The sequence below is a fragment of the Homo sapiens genome, chromosome 15 (assembly GCF_000001405.40).
Source record: "Homo sapiens chromosome 15, GRCh38.p14 Primary Assembly".
NCBI lineage: Eukaryota > Metazoa > Chordata > Mammalia > Primates > Hominidae > Homo > Homo sapiens.
The window spans coordinates 95,000,448-95,018,478 of record NC_000015.10 but is presented as its reverse complement, the minus strand read 5'-3'; the positions used below and the strand labels follow the sequence as shown (position 1 = coordinate 95,018,478).

The 18,031-nt window shown below is 38.3% G+C and overlaps 1 long non-coding RNA gene across 1 annotated transcript; it reads left to right on the top strand.

Moving 5' to 3' along the window:
• Window positions 1-352: 352 nt before the first annotated feature.
• LOC105370989 (uncharacterized) lies at window positions 353-17,110 on the top strand. The gene is made up of 2 exons (XR_932645.2): window positions 353-478; window positions 16,881-17,110. It is a non-coding gene; the product is annotated as an uncharacterized LOC105370989 (long non-coding RNA).
• Window positions 17,111-18,031: the final 921 nt, after the last annotated feature.

Below are 18,031 nucleotides of genomic sequence, written 5' to 3'. Positions count from 1 at the left end.
TCCCTATTGGTCTTGATGAATAGAGCCACTAGCTAGTCAATAACAATGACCCAAGCCCAAGATTGTCATATGTTTGTTGAAAAAATAAACAATAAAACGTGGTTTAATTTACTTCTGCAAAAGTGATGAATAAAAGTTGATTTTTAAACATTGGAACTTCTTAAGTCTTAACAACATGCGCTTTTCTTAAAAGTTCATAACAACTCTTACAAAGGTTTGATTTTTGACACTTATTTTCCCCCTTTGGAATTTTTTCCTTTACTTTCGTTTCATCAGAGGCAGAATGCTGATCTTGCTAATGGCCTGCAACCTTGGCATGTGGCCAGCCATTGTTACCCAGGGACCAGGAGACAGAATGCTGGCTGTGCGAGTCTCCCAAGGTGCGAGCTTTCTTTCTCTCTGAATTAGGAGGTGAAACCATTTGGAAGAGCCATTGTAAAGGGGAGGGCTTTGGGCTGTGCATACTCCTCATATCCAGGTGAGTTCATTTTTCTTGTGAACTTTTCACCTAGGCCCCAATTAGTATCCTATTAACCTCCTTAAATATGGAATTGCTAAGATCTTAGAATACTCCAGAATGGACTATTAGCCAGCCCATTTCCTGGCTCCATCAGATGAAAATGCCAAAGTAGGTCATACAACAGAATTATCTTGATTAATTTCAGCTCTCTTGCATGGGCCATGATGTCATGCAAGTTAAAGGAGATTCAAATTTAATGCATCATTTCAATGACTGATTAAACATGGGATTTTCTGAAAAACATTTACAATTCCAGGTTTATAAGGATTCTCCTTCTTTAATATGACAAACATTTCAAATGTGCTAAATTGATCAATTATACAAATGATAAATTCCCTTGAATATACTTTTTCATGTTCATGTTCTCCAGGGCCTAATATGGAAAAAGGTTTATTATCCCCAGTAACTACTATGTTAGATGAAAAGCTCTCAGCATTGTGCCCCTTTCCTATCCATGGATGCAGGCTATTAAAAAACAAAACAAAACAAAAAAACACTATGAAGATGCCACATCTACTCCAGAAGCCTACTCAGAATGGCATTTCCAAATATAAATGGCTTTGCTAAGGCTAAAAAAAGCATCAAACTTTACATCCTTTATCATACATTCCTAAAGGACTCCCTTGAAAAAAGCACTTAAAAACATTGTATCTTGGAACATCTCATATATTGGTGCAATTTATTTACAAGAGTCAGATTTAATTTGTTTTCATGTATAAAGCAGCTTTAGGGACTTATTAGCAATTTCAAATGTTACAGGAAAATATGCTGAATCTAAAGTTCATTATCACAAGTAAGCTTATTTAAGTGAGATTATTTGTTTCTTAAAATGTACAAGATAGCTAGTTCTTTAAAAGGCTTCTGTTGCATCATTTCACTTAGAAATAAAGCTTTTGGATGCAGCTGTTATGCTCTAAAGTCAGGGTTGTGTCTGTTTTGTGTTTATAAGTAACATGGACACAGCCTGCTACTATAAACACTGAACCCGGCTTAACATGTTCCTGTCTTTTCCAGATGAAAATGCAACTTACTTTCGTGATTTAGGTTATGAAACTTTAAAACCATGTCACATTTTAATATGCAGGGGTTCCTTCCTGTAATAACCTGCAATGTATATTCATGTTTGCAATTTCTAGCAAGAAGTAAAATAACTGATAGCTTTTATGAAGCATCTTTGAACTTTGCAAGTTCCACTTGTCTGAATCAGAGCTTCACAGACACCCACTTAGCACAGACTGGGTTGTGCCAGGGCTAGAGTAACTGCCTGCCAAAGGGATCCTGGCCACCCCTCCTCTTCTTTCTGATCAGTCCACTGATCACTAAGAAACCAGTGGTGAGCTGCTTACCTTTTAGAATATGAATAAATAAAGAGCTTGCCATGATCAAAGAGACTGAAAGCTTCAGATGGATGTTTATGCTACTGAGCCAAATGTAATGTTCACAAAAATTAGGGAGCTTCAGGACCCCGTATCTCTACTCTCTGAAATTCAACTTTTCTCAGATTTAAAACAGAGGGATTCAGCTTTTCTAGAATCTATGTGTCAAAGTGGACTTATCTGTCATCAGAGAAATTCCATCCTCATATTCTAACATCAGATTATTCCAATACATGTTCTATTCATCGGTCGCCTTAGTTAGAAAATTAGGCAAAATTCTAAGGCATCTTTATGCGGTGACATAAAAAAAAATGTATTTTGGTAGTAGTTGCTAGAAAAATATCATACTTCAGGACTTTAGTCACTTTTTTCTCCATCTGAGAATTTATGAGAGTCCCTTTAACTCACTTATGTATGTTTGAAGTATCTTTATTTATTTATACACTTTCCAAGCAATGTAACTTATGTGTTGTATGATTAAAATGTAGAAATGAAAACTCAGGCTGGGCACGGTGGCTCACGCCTGTAATTGCAGCACTCTGGGAGGCAGAGGTAGGTGGATCACCTGAGGTCAGGAGTTCGAGACCAGCCTGGCCAACATGGCGAAACCCCATCTCTACTAAAAACACAAAAAATAGTCGGGCATGTTGGTGAGCGCCTGTAATCCCAGCTACTCCAGAGGCTGAGGCAGGAGTATTACTTGAACTTGGGAGGCGGAGGTTGCAGTGAGCCGAGATTGGCCACTGCACTTCAGCCTGCGTGACAGAGGGAGACATTGTCTCAAAAAAAAAAAGAAAAAGAAAAAGAAAAAAAGAAAGAAATTAAAACTCAGAGATTTAAAAATCACACTGGGCCTTTGTGCACACTCCTTTACTTTTTATATTTATTTTTATTTATTTATTTATTTATTTATTTATTTATTTATTTATTTATTTTGAGACGGAATCTCACTCTGTTGCCCAGGCTGGAGTACAGTGATGTGATCTCAGCTCACTGCAAGCCCTGCCGCCTCCCGGGTTCACGTCATTCTCCTGCCTCAGCCTCCCGAGTAGCTGGGACTACAGGCGCCTGCCACCATGCCTGGCTAATTTTTTGTGTTTTTAGTAGAGACGGGGTTTCACCGTGTTAGCCAGGATGGTCTCAATCTCCTGACCTTGTGATCTGCCTGCCTTGGCCTCCCAAAGGGCTGGGATTACAGGCTACTTTTTATTTTTATAAGTTGTAAATAAATTATTGTTTATTTGTTTATAAGTACAAAAGAAATATATGTTAGTTTTTAAAGAAATTAAAATTAAATAAAGTTGGAGACTGAGTTCCTCAGTCTTACTAGCCGCTTTTCAACAGATCTTTGGATTCAACAGACTCTTATTCTTCCCTCCAACACCTTCCCCCTTGCAAATTGCTAGCAAACTGATGTCCCAAGGGTGTACCTAAAATGCCAGTCTGCCCATGTAAGTATGGACCCACTCCTTCAGCCTGGCACACAAAGGTTCAGGAGCTTCAACATCAACTGGCACGGCCTCCTTCCCCATGCTATGCCTATTCCCTTGTGACTGCCTGACAGCAGCACTTGCTCGGGCTGTTCCCTCGGCCTGAGCAAGCAGTGCTCGGAGCATTGCGTCTTCAACCCATACCTAAGCATCATCACATGTCTCTTTCCACTTTCTCCTTCCCAATCCCTACTCTGCACAAAATCTGACACTATACTCAATTACAATATTTGGACACTGGCTTGAATTTCCTTCCCTACTGGTTAATAAATCCAAGAGTAGAGTTTATAATGGATTTCTTGGCTTAATTCAGTGGTTGCTACATGGTAGATGTGACATGAATGGCTGCTAAATCAAATAAAAGAATGTCCTCTGCTCCCGGTTGACCATACCAGAAGTGGGCAGGTATGAATGTCTGCACCCCTGGCAGTGCACACTGTGAACTCTATCTCTCACTATCACGGCTTCTTTCTTGTCTTCAGTGAATATGACGAGTAACTGAAAAAGTTGACTCCTCTGAGCCTAGTGGAGATCTTACACTGTTTGACTCAGTTGCTTCCCCAAGTCTGCTCATGCATTTTTTCCTGGTTTACTCTAAGCTCCTCCTTTACAAAGTAACAGACATAGGTTAGGGCTGCCTCACCTTCTTTTAACAACATTAAGAGAGATGAATTTTCCAAAATAAGGCTAGCCAGTGAACTGTGGTGCCAGAATAATCCCATTACTTTCAGAGGCCTTGAGTCTGTTACAATCACTCAAGTGTTGCAGGGATGTAGTTTAAAAGGGAAAGGCTATGGTAATCGCTTGCGGAGGTTGTTTTCTTCAAAATAGAATTCCCAATCTTGGAAGGGTTGTGTATCACTACAGGCAGGGTCTTTAAGGAGTTCACTAAGATCATTACAACAATCCGAAAGTGTTTGCTAAAATGGGTCAAAGAAGTTGATACCAATTATATCCAGTTGTCTTCTGTCTGGGATAAGTGGGCTTCTGTTTCTAAGCAAATGAATTCTCTCATTTTGATTCTTTCTATAGTATCTCTGATTTGATAGTATTCAGCCTTTTCAGAGTTAGGAATCATGGGAAAGGTTAAAGGGAAAATTAACCAATATGAGAAAGAATGGCCTACTGAAAGAACCTTTCAGAAAAAAGGAGTAAGAAGAACCCAATATTATTTGTGCATCACTGGAATCCTTGTAACTATATTTCAATGTTGATCTTAAACGGGGGTTACATAGAAATAGAGAGTAACATATTTTGTTGGAATGATTGGGCTCTAAAGAAGTGTTTCTCAAAGTTAAGTCTTCGGCCCTTTGGTGGGGCTGTAAAGGTCTTCTAGAAGGGCCAAGAACTTACCCCAAGTTTGATCTCCTCCTGCACTGTTTATGTGCAAATGACATGAAATTCCATTGGAAGTTGGAAGCTATTAAAAGAGTTATGAAGAGTCACTAACATGTGATATTGATAAACTAAAATTAGCATGCTGAGGGAGTTTACTCTAGACCTTAATCTAGTATGGTGCCAGGAAGTCTGGCTGCTACAAAAAGCTTAGCATTGCTGTGAAGCTCCTACCATTTAGGGAGGCAAGCTGATTGTTGGAATTCCCATAGTTTCCAGGAAATAAGCTTTGTTATCAGAGCATCATTAATGCCTTATTGAGTTGTTCTTGTTTTTTAATTGCTACTAAGTTTGTAATAACATTTTACTTTTGTTGGTTGTTAGGGTCTTTTGTACTTGCTTTGCCTCACCATTTGGGTTGCTATTAGTTGGGTGCTCTTTGCCCAAATGTCTCAGGAACCCCTCAGTGGCCTGACAAAGCACATGACACACAGGCGAGGTATGGAAGTGCAAGGTAACATTTATCGAGGCTCACTAGTGCCTGAACATTTTCTAAGCACTTTAGTTGTATGATTAACGTAATTGTCAATACAACCTAAACTCCAGGTTCCTCAAACCCTTCTAACCTTTTAGATCAAGTCTCTGTTTAAGAACATCCCACTGTTTGAAAGAATTTACTTTTTTCTCTCAATATTTATTTGTGTGTGTGCGTGTGTGCATATGTGGTTTTTGTTTGTTTGTTTGATTGAGGCAGGGTCTAACTTGCCCCGGATGGTGCACATTGGCATAATCACTGCTCACCGCAGCCTCAACCTCCCCAGGCTCAGGTGATCCTCCCACCTCAGCCACCCTAGTAGCTAGTACTACAGGCATGTGCCACCATGCCTGGCTAATTTTTATATTTTTTTTAGAGACAGGGATTCACCATGTCGTCTAGGCTGGTCTCCAACTCCTGGGCTCAGGTGATTTACCCACCTCAGTCTCCCCAAATGCTGGGATTACACGCATGAGCCACAGCACCCAGTCTTAACACTTATTTTGAAGAATAGCAAATATATCACAATAACATAATAGCCAAATAAATACACACATATTATTCACTTGGATTTAGCAATTGTGAACCTCTTGTCACATTTCACTTTTTTTTTTCCTGAATCATTTAAAAGCAAGAGATTTTAAAGAAGATATTCACATTTCACTATTGAATAATTTCATATACATCTCCTAAAAATAAGGGTATTCTCCTATAAAAACCACAAGGCTTTTATGACATCTAAGAATATACAAAATTGTACTATATCTAATTTCTAGTCTATATTCAAATTATCAAATCACCCAAAAATATCTTCCATAAATTAATTTTTCAGCTAAGGTCCAATTAATGTTGACAAATTGCATTTGATGAATTCTACCCCACCTTTTTATTCAAGACATGGACATTTTGAAAACTCCAGGCCAGTTGATTGTAGAATATGCTTCATTTTTATTTATCTAATTAACTTTCTCAAAGTGTTGTTCATTTTTCTCTCCTATCCCTGGTATTTCCTATAAACTAGAAATTAGATAGAATTGATTGGATTTGTGCTCAATAGTTTTGGTGAGGTTAATCCATTGATAACGTGTACTTCACGTTGCATCACGTGAGGAACTACATAATGTCAAGTACTCTTTTTATTGATTAAGATGTTTGACTTGTTTATTTTGTTAATATGATAACTGCTGGATCTATCCATTATAACAGTAGCTTTTTCCTTTTGTAGTTTATAATTACTGTGTAGGGTGATTGCATTCATTTTTCCATTCTTGCTGTAACAAATGACTTCAAATATAGGAGCATAAAACGAAACAAATTATCATCTTGCAGTTCCGTAGATGAGAGGTCCAAAACAGATCTCGGTAGGCTAAAGTCAATGTGTTGGCAGGACAGCATTCCCTTCTAAATGCTATAGGGGAGAATCAGTTTCTTTGGACTTTCCAGCCTCTAGAGGCCACTCACATTACTTGGCTCTTTCCTCTGTCTTCACAGCCAGTGGCGGTCAAGTCCTTTTCAAATCACATCAGTCTTACCATCTCTCTGCCTCCTTCTTCCAATTCTAAGAACCCTTGTGGTTCAACTGGATCTATTTAAATAATCCAGTGTAATCTCTTTATTTTAAAATCAAATGACAAGCTATCATAATTCCATCTATGACATTAATCCCCTTCTGCCATGTCATCTAACATATTCACTGGTTCCAGGGATTAGGACACCAACATTTTTGGGGAGGCCATTATTCTACCTTCAACATGCTATTTCGGCGTTGTGCAAATAACCTGTTTCCCAACAACATATCACTTAATAGTTTTAACTTCCATTGATAATCCTTGGTTTTGTCAGTAATTGGGTGGTGCAAGCACTGGTGATCTACTTATATTATTCCTTCTACAGTTATGAGCTAGTATTGTTCTTTAAAGAAATGCTCTACATTATCTCCTCCATCTATCTGTCTTCCTTTTTTCACTGTGGGCTCTTGGGTTTTTAAATTATTATAATAAATTGATTTATTAATTTTGTTAATGTTATAACTGCTGGATTTGTTCATTGCAACAGAAGATTTTTTTTATAATACATTATCAGCATCTTTGGTTTTGATCTACCAAATTGGGCCAGTGGGAGTCCCTTAAATCAAGATCCTAAGTCCTTTTGAGATATGCCCTTATTTTCTTTTCTGCTACAAGCACATGCTACTGCTCACCTTGCACTTTTCTCTGAAGGAGACTTGAAATCAGCTGTTCTCTCACCCCTCTATTCAAAGACAGCAGTGGAACTTAGAACTCAAGATTTGAGTGTTAGGTGCGTCACTGCTACTGGGATATTAAGATTTTTAGGCAAGGAGTGAATAGATAGATAGATAGATAGATAGATAGATAGATAGATAGATAGATAGAGTCATGTATAAATCATGAGTTTATACGTATATTTCCAATTCAAATTTAATATTAATATTGTAGGGTTTTGCTTAATTTTTCCTAAATTTTGTACTTTTCTTGTGACAATGAAATTCTTGGTTTCTAATCCTACAATACAGAAAAAATATATTCATAATTACAATCAGCAATGATCTTTCTGTGTATATTTAAGATTGACTTTTGATTCTCTCTGTTCTCAGAATATACCTCATTAAAAAACCTAAAGTCAGAGTAGTGTTCAAAAATTACTTGGAAGAAGTATTTCTTCTGTGTTGTTATGTTATCAATTTTATAAAATGTTAGGTTTATTTTTGTTTTATTTAATTTTATGGTGACTTTTTTCTTTTTGATTTAATGTCATGCTGTGAATATATAAAATGTTTCTGTCATTCAGAAGTTAAACCTACAAGAAAGGTGTCCTCTGTCAAGTTGCTCCCTCATTACTACCACCTCCACCCTGTTTCCCTTTCTTTTTTTTTTGAGACAGGATCTCACTCTGTCACCCAGGCTGGAGTGCAGTGGCGCAATCTCTGCTCACTACAACCTCCGCCTCCTGGATTCAAGAGATTCTCATTCCTCAGCCTCCTGAGTAGCTGGGATTACAGGCATGTGCTGTTTCCCTTTCTATTGAGAATTTTCCTGTGCATTTGCTGATAATCCTTCAAACATTTCTCTTTGGAAAAATAACGTACACCTATATCACCTTTTATTTCTTACATTAAAGTAGCTCACTACTGTTATATACTTTAATTGTTTTACCTAAAAATATATCCTAGAAATCATAGAGTGGCTTCTTTGTTCTTGTTCTGACACAGATGTCATAATTTGTATGGGGTAGAGACTATTACTATTAGCATTTTGCAGATGAAAAAACTGAGGCATAGAAAATGAGTAACTCGCTGAAAGTCATTCAGTTTGTAGGTAGGAAGGGTGAGGACCTAAGTAGTCTGCTTTCTGAATCTTTTCTTTTAACCACACCCTACAAGCATCCAGGCACAAATGCACATCCTTTTATCTTGCCCTGTGGCAATGTTACTGTGTTAGTGGTGCTGACAAGGTTTCTTCTTCTTTTTTTTTTCCTTCCTTCCTTCCTTCCTTCCTTGGTGTTGTTCTAACATCATTTAATTTTAAGAAAAATTGAGGCTATATTGTCCAGTCATAATTAGAAGTTCATGAATGTAGCTCAGTTATTTTACTTCATTAACACGTTTATTAAAGTGATAGTCATTGATTTTTGGAGCTAGAAGAGGCCTTTGAAATGATCTAATCCAGTATCTCCATTGTACAGGTTCGGGGTTCTGAGTATAGAGGTAAGAAGGCTGATCAAAGGTCAAATAGGTAGAGCCAGAGTGACACCTGGAGATCTGGTCTCCTAAGTACTAATCTAGAGTTGTTTTTCACTGTAATACAAGACTCAGTGGGAAATACATCAAGAGACAGATATCTAAAGTCTCCAATAACACACAGCTCAAGAAAAATGGATACTATCACACTTTGTGCTACAGCCTTTGACTAATGAATCCAATAATACAAAATCTTAGCTCAATCCTTTCTCTTTCTAAGTCCAACAGTAAACATCTGACAGACTTCCACTGAGTATAGTGAAACCTCCTCATGTAGTATCTACTCATCACATATGAAGAGTTTAAGCACACTAAGTTGTTATAATAACATTGCACCAACTTAATAATATTGAAAGTAATGGCAAAAATCACAATTACTTTTGCACCAACCTACGAGCACAGCATGAACCTGAATGGCAATTTAGCAGCTGCATTTCAAAAATCGAGTCCAACTAGAGATACACTCCCAAGAGCCTGCCTCTGAAGTGCTAACCTGCAAAGATTTGGAAACACATTTCTTCACTACTGTGGAATGTGTACATTGTGTCGTCTGTGGATACATTAGTAGGTCTCTCTCTTAAGTACCTAAGGGGAAGTTTCTAAACATCAGCCTCACTCACCAATGTCCTAAGAGCAGAGTGTTAATAGTGCACTAACAACATCCTGGACAGCTGATATGGTATCTTACATCTCCAGAATGGTACCAAAGCAGTTACTGGGGGATTAAAAATGAGAATTTGACAGCTGTTGTAAGATTTCACTTTACTCTTACCACTGTGAGTTAAAAATGAATATCAGGTCAAACATTATTGTGTGATGAAACCGTCAACTCAGTTCTTGATTATTAACCCAGCAGGCAATTCTTTTTGGGGAGTCTTTCCTGCTTGGGTAGAAAGTCTGAGTTCTAATAGGGCTTTGTTTGTTTGCATTTTTCCTATAACCAATTGTCTCTCTTTTCCCTCAATTTTTCATTAAAACAAATACAAAAACAAAAAAACAATGGGGTAGACAGGTTCACAGTGGTTGACGTTTGAATGTGCCGTTGGCTTATTTTTTTAGTAGTGTCTGTTGATCCATTTTTCTAAATGTTTAAAATAGCATGACAAATGTTCTGGGAGGGGGATCACATGCCTGCTATTAAAAAGTCCTAGATTCAGAAGATATTCTGATGGGCCACAGAGCAATCTCAAGGATGGTAATAGAGTGTGTTTTCTCTGCCATTCTTCCTTTTGTTCCTCACTTCTGGCCTTTCCCCTAACTTGTACCAACAAAGATTCTCTTAGTAGCTGCTGCACCAAATCAGGAGCCTCTGAGATTCTCCTTAGCTCCATTTCTGATATTAATGCAGATGGAATCATTGGTGCTGTTATCAAAATATGATTATGATAAGCAAGACTGAGAAGCAGCTGTTTAGGCCCACAGGAGAAGTGTCCAAGAAAGAGGAGCCAAGGAAAGGAGTTGAGATTAGCCTTGATAGCTGGGTAATGGATTGACTGATTTTTTTTCTGATTAATTTCTTTATAAGAAATAAAACTAAAATTCCCACGTCATTTTGGGCTTCAGAAACTCCACAAATCCAACTTCTAAAGAAGGTAAAAAAGTAAAAACAAAGATGAATCTCACTTTCTCACTTTCACTAATTAGACAGGAGCAATAACCAATCAGCTCACAGAACATAATAATACCAACAAATATAGCATGCTTGGCTTTATATGGTAAGTCCACAGACACTAAAGGACAGGAGTCAACTGATCACTTCATGCCAGGAAATAGAGCAAGAGTGGCCTTCTATATAATAATAAAGGTCGTTAACCATCAAAGACATTTAGACTTGAAAAGGCCTGGAGAGTTTGAAAGATTAAAAAAAAAAACTTAGTCCAGAGAGAAGACACACATTCTTAGAGTTCTAAAGAGAATTTTGGAAATGCTTATTAAATTTAGTGCATTGAAATATTTACATATGAATAAAAACCAGAATCAATCAAATTATGGTTTAGATTTCCGACTAAAATATTAACTCACTCTTTTTGAAATGCATATATCTTTGGTATGCACGTGTGTGTGTGTGTGTGTGTGTGTGTGTTCGTGTGTGTATGTGTGTGCATTTATATACAGCCATCCCTCAGTCATTGTTAGGGATTTGCCCCAGGAGATTTCTCAGATACCAAACTCTGCAGATGCTCAATATGGCATGTCGTTTGCATATAACCTATGCACATCCTCCCATATACTTTAAATAATCTCTATATTACCTACAATACTGTTAGAGGAAAAACCTTTACAAATCAAATTTAACAGACTTGAAATGAGCAAAGAATGATTTTCCAATCAGGCTGCCCTTGAACCAGAATAGGTTCAGAGAGAACCCAGCACTGCCATGTGGTTGAAGAAGATTTAGGAAGAGAAAAAGGAAAGTGGCAAACAGAAAATGGAAGTGAGGTCCAGGAACAGCTGGGTTGGTTCTAGCTCAGAATTTGCCTTACTTAAATAGCTAACTGATTTGAACAATTAGCTACCTGTGATTGGCCAAATCTCGGTAATTGGCACAAGAGAAATGCAAATCAAAACCACAATGAGATACCATCTCACATCAGTCAGAAAGGCGATCATTAAAAAGTCAAGAAACAACAGGTGCTGGAGAGGATGTGGAGAAATAGGAACACTTTTACACTGTTGGTGGGACTGTAAACTGGTTCAACCATTGTGGAAGACAGTGTGGCGATTCCTCAGGGATCTAGAATTAGAAATACTATTTGACCCAGCCAACCCATTACTGGGTATATACCCAAAGGATTATAAATCATGCTACTGTAAAGACACATGCACATGTATGTTTATTGCAGCACTATTCACAATAGCAAAGACCTGGAACCAACCCAAATGTCCAAAAATGATAGACTGGATTAAGAAAATGTGGCACATATACACCATGGAATACTACACAGCCATAAAAAAGATGAGTTCATGTCCTTTGTAGGGACATGGATGAAGCTGGAAACCATGATTCTCAGCAAACTATCGTGAGGACAAAAAACCAAATACCGTATGTTCTCACTTATAGGTGGGAACTGAACAATGAGAACACTTGGACACTGGAAGGAGAACATCACACACCGGGGCCTGTCATGGGGTGGGAGGAGTGGGCAGGGATAGCATTAGGAGACATACCTAATGAAAATGACGAGTTAATGGGTGCAGCACACCAACATGGTGCATGTATACATATGTAACAAACCTGCACGTTGTGCACATGTACCCTAGAACTTAAAGTATAAAAAAAAAAAAAAAAAGAAATCTGAAGGGAAAATTCCAATGTACTAAGCTCTTTTTAAAGAAAAAAAAAAGGTAGGTTATAGTCAGCTTACATATCCAGCTGGGTTAGAGATCACCTATGTATGGAAAAACTTTAGGCTAAACTTCAAATATGTAAGAAGGCAGCTTTAGGCTAAAAACTATACATAATACAATGTAAATGTTTTATAAATAGTTGCCTATACTGTATTGTTTAGGGAATGATGATGAGACAAAAAGGCTGCACGTGTTTGTTACAGATGTAGTTTTTATTCTGGAATTTTTAAATCTGTATTTGGTTGAATCCATGGATGCAAAACCCATGGATATAGAGGGCCAACTGGATATAAAAATTATGCATACAGTTTTGCAAGAAGAAAAGCAATGATATAGAAAAATGTTATTCTCCTATTTTATTCATTAATTTATCACATGTTTAATAATGCTTATATAGCTTTTACCTTGTGCCAGACACTGTTCTAAGTGTTTTACAGAAATGAACTCATATAATCCTCACAACAACTTAATAAGTTAGGTAGTATTATCTTTATTTTAGACATGAGAGAGCTGAATCACAAGGAGTTATATAGCATATCCAAGTTAACAGAGCTAGTAATAGTTTTATTTCAAGAAAGTTTTGTCAAAATTTGACATAATGAAAAATTCCTCGCCAGGTACTATGGCTCATGCCTGTAATCCCAGAACTTTGGGAGGCTGAGGTGGGTGGATTGCCTGAACCCAGAAGTTTGGGACCAACCTGGGCAACATGGTCTCTACAAAAAATACAAAAAAGTTAGCTGGCATGGTGGCGCATGCCTGTGGTCCCAATGGAAGGCTGAGGTGGGAGGATCACTTGAGCCTGGGCAGCTCAAGGCTGCAGTGACGTGTGATCACACCACTGCACTCCAGCCTGGGTGGCACAGTGTAACCTTGTCTCAAAAAAAAAAAAAAAAAAAAAGAGAGAGAGAGAGAGAAAAGAAACATTCCTTAGTTTTTTTCTCTTTACTTCACTGTGTCTCCCTACAAAATTTGTTGAGTGAGTTTCTTCCGCTTAGGCCTGGGTAAGAAGGCAGCACTTCCTGTCAGGCTGCCTTCTTTCTGGTGGACGGATAGTTTCTACATACTAACACGTAGCCCCAATCCCTCATTGTAGGTATTATCATGAGATTTTCAGGTTTGCTATAAACAAGCAAGCATAGAAATAAGAGAGGAGACTCACAGTAACAGGACATTCGAGAAAACTTGGTTGTGGCAGAAAGAGAAAAATAGTGGAGCTAACTGTAAGTAATTAGGGAGTAACAAGTTCAGAGAATGACTCCTTCTCCACTTTTTCTGACTCATAAGTTTTACGGAATCACTGGGTGCAATAACGCATTGGCTTTTAACTCTAGAGGCTTCAACTTTCTATCACAAGGGTCACTGAGCCATGAAGAGTGCTGAACTCCTCTCAGGCCTGGCAAATGCACACACTTACACACTCACATACTTTTAAATGTAGCGTTAAGTCTACTTGGTCACCTCTACACAAGAAAACTCCCGATCATTCAATATGGAATATTTATTGAAGAATCAGAGGTTTCATGCCATAATAATAAGAATGATATCAGAATAGCAATAATATGGCCAATTTATTGAGTATTTACCATGTTCCAGGCACTGTGCTTTGCAGTTACATAGATTACCTTGTTTAATCCCTATCATAATTGTACCTCAAGTTTTACAACTGCATTTAACTGCATTTATGATTTGAGGAAATCAAAGCTCAAAGAGTTAAACGAACTTTGCAAGTCATGCAGCGATGAAGTGGTAGAACTACGTTTAGTTTTTCTTGGACATCAAGCTCTTAAGAGCTACATCAAGGTTCTCACATATTAGTTTCGCTTGATATGTGTACCTCAAGGAATGTATCAACATTATCTGCAGATCCCACTTTACCAAACAGTGGGCCATCATTTGTTTATGCTCTGTAGGATATTCTATGATTCTTACATCATCTCAACAAATTACTACTCACCAGAATCTACACATCCGATGGAAGGAAATCCTCAAATTTATGACTGATTTATTGTGTATACTCACCTCATTCTAACCAGGAGCTATGTAGTAAAGCCAGTGATAAAAACAATTAAATTTTGATTTAGAAAAAAAAAAGTAAAATCTTTTCTCTTGAAAAGATTTTGTGTTCTACATCCTGGTTTGTCCAAGTCATCCACTGTTATGGACAAATAGTAGAATGATGAAAAAGAGAATGTGGTTATTATAAAATAACTATTTCCCTGGTGACTTGAGACACGTAGGGGTCTGTTGTTCCTTCTGCTCTCCAAGGGATGAGTATATGTCTCTGATGGTGTTGGAAATACACTGAGATAGGGTGTCATTCTGCATGGTATTCTAGCTGATCACCTGCCTGCCTGCATGGCACAGAGAACATTCGGTGGAATAGTTGAAGCTGTGAAACTTCACTGACCCACTCAGAGATAGAAAGGTCTGCAGAGCACAGACTTTAGATCTCCTAAAGAGAGCTCTTAGAAGATCAAAACATGCCCTTTGCTTTACCCACTTGGAGCTGATTTGAACAAGCAACAGGAAAACAACACAGAACGGTATCCAGTATACTTGGCAGAGTTTATTGCCAATTGGAATTAACAGAACACTATCTGTTATCCTGTTATTCACGTCACCACCACCACCACCAGTAACATTTACCAAACACGAATCCTACCTGGGACTTGGTTGGTGTTATACAAATTAATCATCATCTTCTAAGAGCGTATTTGCTTTCTTGTCTAAGGCTCAACCTAACAATGCCAGACTGTTTAATTTGTGAATGCAAAGTATTATTTATGTTCACAAGTGAGCTCATTTTATCTTGCAAATTTAAGTGTTGCAAAGATACTGATGTGTGACAGTTGTTTTCTCAGAAACTCCTATATGGGAAAACTAAGCAGGTTGACTATATCCAGAGCCTTTGACTCTACACTGATTCAGCACTTTACATGATGTAGCATATTTAATATTCAGAAGCCACTATTCCCTCCAGGAGATAGTGACAAAGCTCACCTTCAAAGAAGTTTAAACTCCGTATCATCAGGTATAATATATACAGAATCAATACCAATCTATAAATTACATGTGTAACACCATGCACTCGTATGTCTAAGGAAATCCAAAAATTACAAGTCAGAGGCTAATAATGCCCAATCAAAACCAGTAACAGAGGCATATGCAACTTTCACCTACGTGGTGATTAAGAGGCTGGATGCTCTGCCAAAGAGAGCTTCCTTCATTGCAAAATGGCAGCATTGATTAATTACAATGAGAAATTGTCAGTTCTAGGTATACTTGGTGTGATCGGTTTTACATCACAGAAACAATGGCCGTAAATTCACAAGCCACTTCCTAATAATGAGGCAAATTTCTGGCCCTAGAGCCCAGGATCAGTGCCATCTGCACGGTCACAGCCAAGTGTCCGGAACACTGAACTCATCAGTCCTTATTCACCACCATGCCACAGAAGTTGCTGTCAATTTTGGAAATAATTAAAGAGGCAGGATTATTTGCACGCTACTATTGGCAAAGAAAAAGAAAGCTTGCAATGATCTTCATTAAGAAGGTGGGACAGAAATATGGATGTGGGGTGCAAAGCTGGGTCAGAGTGGATTTTGGTTTTGCAGTACTCTGGGATGGAGTTACTAGATACAGAATTACAAGTATGTAACCCTGTGTTCCGGGCAGAGTTTGAGAGAAAACCTTAGAATAGATGTAGGATTCTCCTTATTATTATGCCTGCCTATTTATGCTCTTAGTCTGTACCTTGCTTTTTATTGCTATTTTTTTCCTTAACTAAATCACTAAGAAGATTCTGTCTCCAGAGCCACAACTCTTCATAAAGCAAGGCATTAACCATTGTCCCCATCTTCCCCTGATACCCTGGCCACCACCCTTGAGCCTCTGTAGAAAGGTGTTGGGACTTCCAGAGTAGTGGAGTTGAAATGGATGATCTGGATCTCGATCATTCTCTCTGCCTCAGGCTTTGGAATGATGCCAACTTACTGCCCACCTGGGCACATTGCTTTGATCAGGACACAGACCCTGTCACTGATGTTTATAATCCACATGGAGAGATTAAATGTCAGTACCTTTCCCCAATACAACATCCAAATAAAGATGATTTCATTTGGGACCAAGCCTTAAGAATATCCAGAACTGCTCAGAGCCATCACTAATTGTTCCTATTTTTCATCTGAAGAGCTTGGCAGGTCCATGACATTATAGCAAAAGTCTTCCCACTAGGACCTTGCCAATTTCAGCTTTAATTCCATCAGTAAACAACTTTGACTGTGTTGGGAAAATTCCATTAATCGTTCATGTTCTGCGAATAATGATACACAAGGAGCTGTCAGCACTAGGCAGCAACTTTCCATTTGTTTGGTAATTAAGAACTCCAGGCCATCTAATGGTGCTGAGATGCAAATTCATTGCCTGGTTGGAGCCACTGGAATGGGCTGAAAAGGATTCACTTGCACTTAAACCCCTAATGTCAGATGATTTGATGGATTTTTCCTGCTTTTCTTAGGTGAACAGCAAGAATATTGCTTCAAGCTGAAATGGTACACTTTGAAAAAAACCTCGTGCTTCTTTCAAGAAGATACAAACTCTTTAGAACACATACTTCTTGTTATTATTTTACTTCAAGTTCTGGGATACATGTGCAGAACGTGCAGGTTCGTTACACTGGTTACAAGAATACATGCTTTTTAAACCTGTTTTTGAATGATGTTTTGATAATACAAATACATAAATGTACATTTTTCCTGAATTGAAATTTTTCATCACCTGAATACCAGAAATTTACTTTCATTAAAATCGTGAATGGGATTTTGTTTTCCTCTACAGAAACACTATCATTTAGCAGAACAGAGACCCAGAAAAGTTTAGCACTGAGAATCTCCATGCAACAGGTAAACAGGTCATTTTTAAAAAAAATCCAAGTTGTGCATGACTACATCTATATTGAAACTCCAAAAACAATTTGATACTTAGAATTTACCAAGAATTCAGCCACAGCATTAGGAGAGGCCGTGAAACTAACCATCTGGAAGACCAGAGACTGCTAGTGGGTCCCTACTGGTTTCTTACATTAATCAGAAAAGTTTCACCACAAGGTTACACTTAGGAATCCAGATGGCATTCAAATGCTCCAGGGCCCCTATCACTATTTTCTTTCCTCCACTACCTTCTTCTTATCATAAAAATATCCAGTTGAAAATTCTATGTCTCATAGGAAGCTACTGGGAAACAAGCAACTCATGCATTTACGAAATAAAAAGGGACATTCTCAGTGACACTTTCTCAACAACATGGCTGCATTCTTTTTTTTTTTTTGAGAGATGGAGTGTCGCTCTATTGCCCAGGCTGCAGTGCAGTGGCACAATCTTGGCTCACTGCAACCTCCGCCTCCTGGGTTCAAGCAATTTTCTGCCTCAGCCTCCTGAGTAGCTGGGATTACAGGTGCCTGCCACCACGCCCGGCTAATTTTTGTGTTTTTAGTAGAGACAGGGTTTCACCATCTTGGCCAGGCTGGTCTTGAACTCCTGACCTCGTGATCCACCCGCCTCGGCCTCCCAAAGTGCTGTGATTACAGGAATGAGCCACCGTGCCTGGCCACAGTAATGTTATTAAAACACTGTGACTCTGTTTTCCCGTGACTTTCTGCGGTGATCTGGG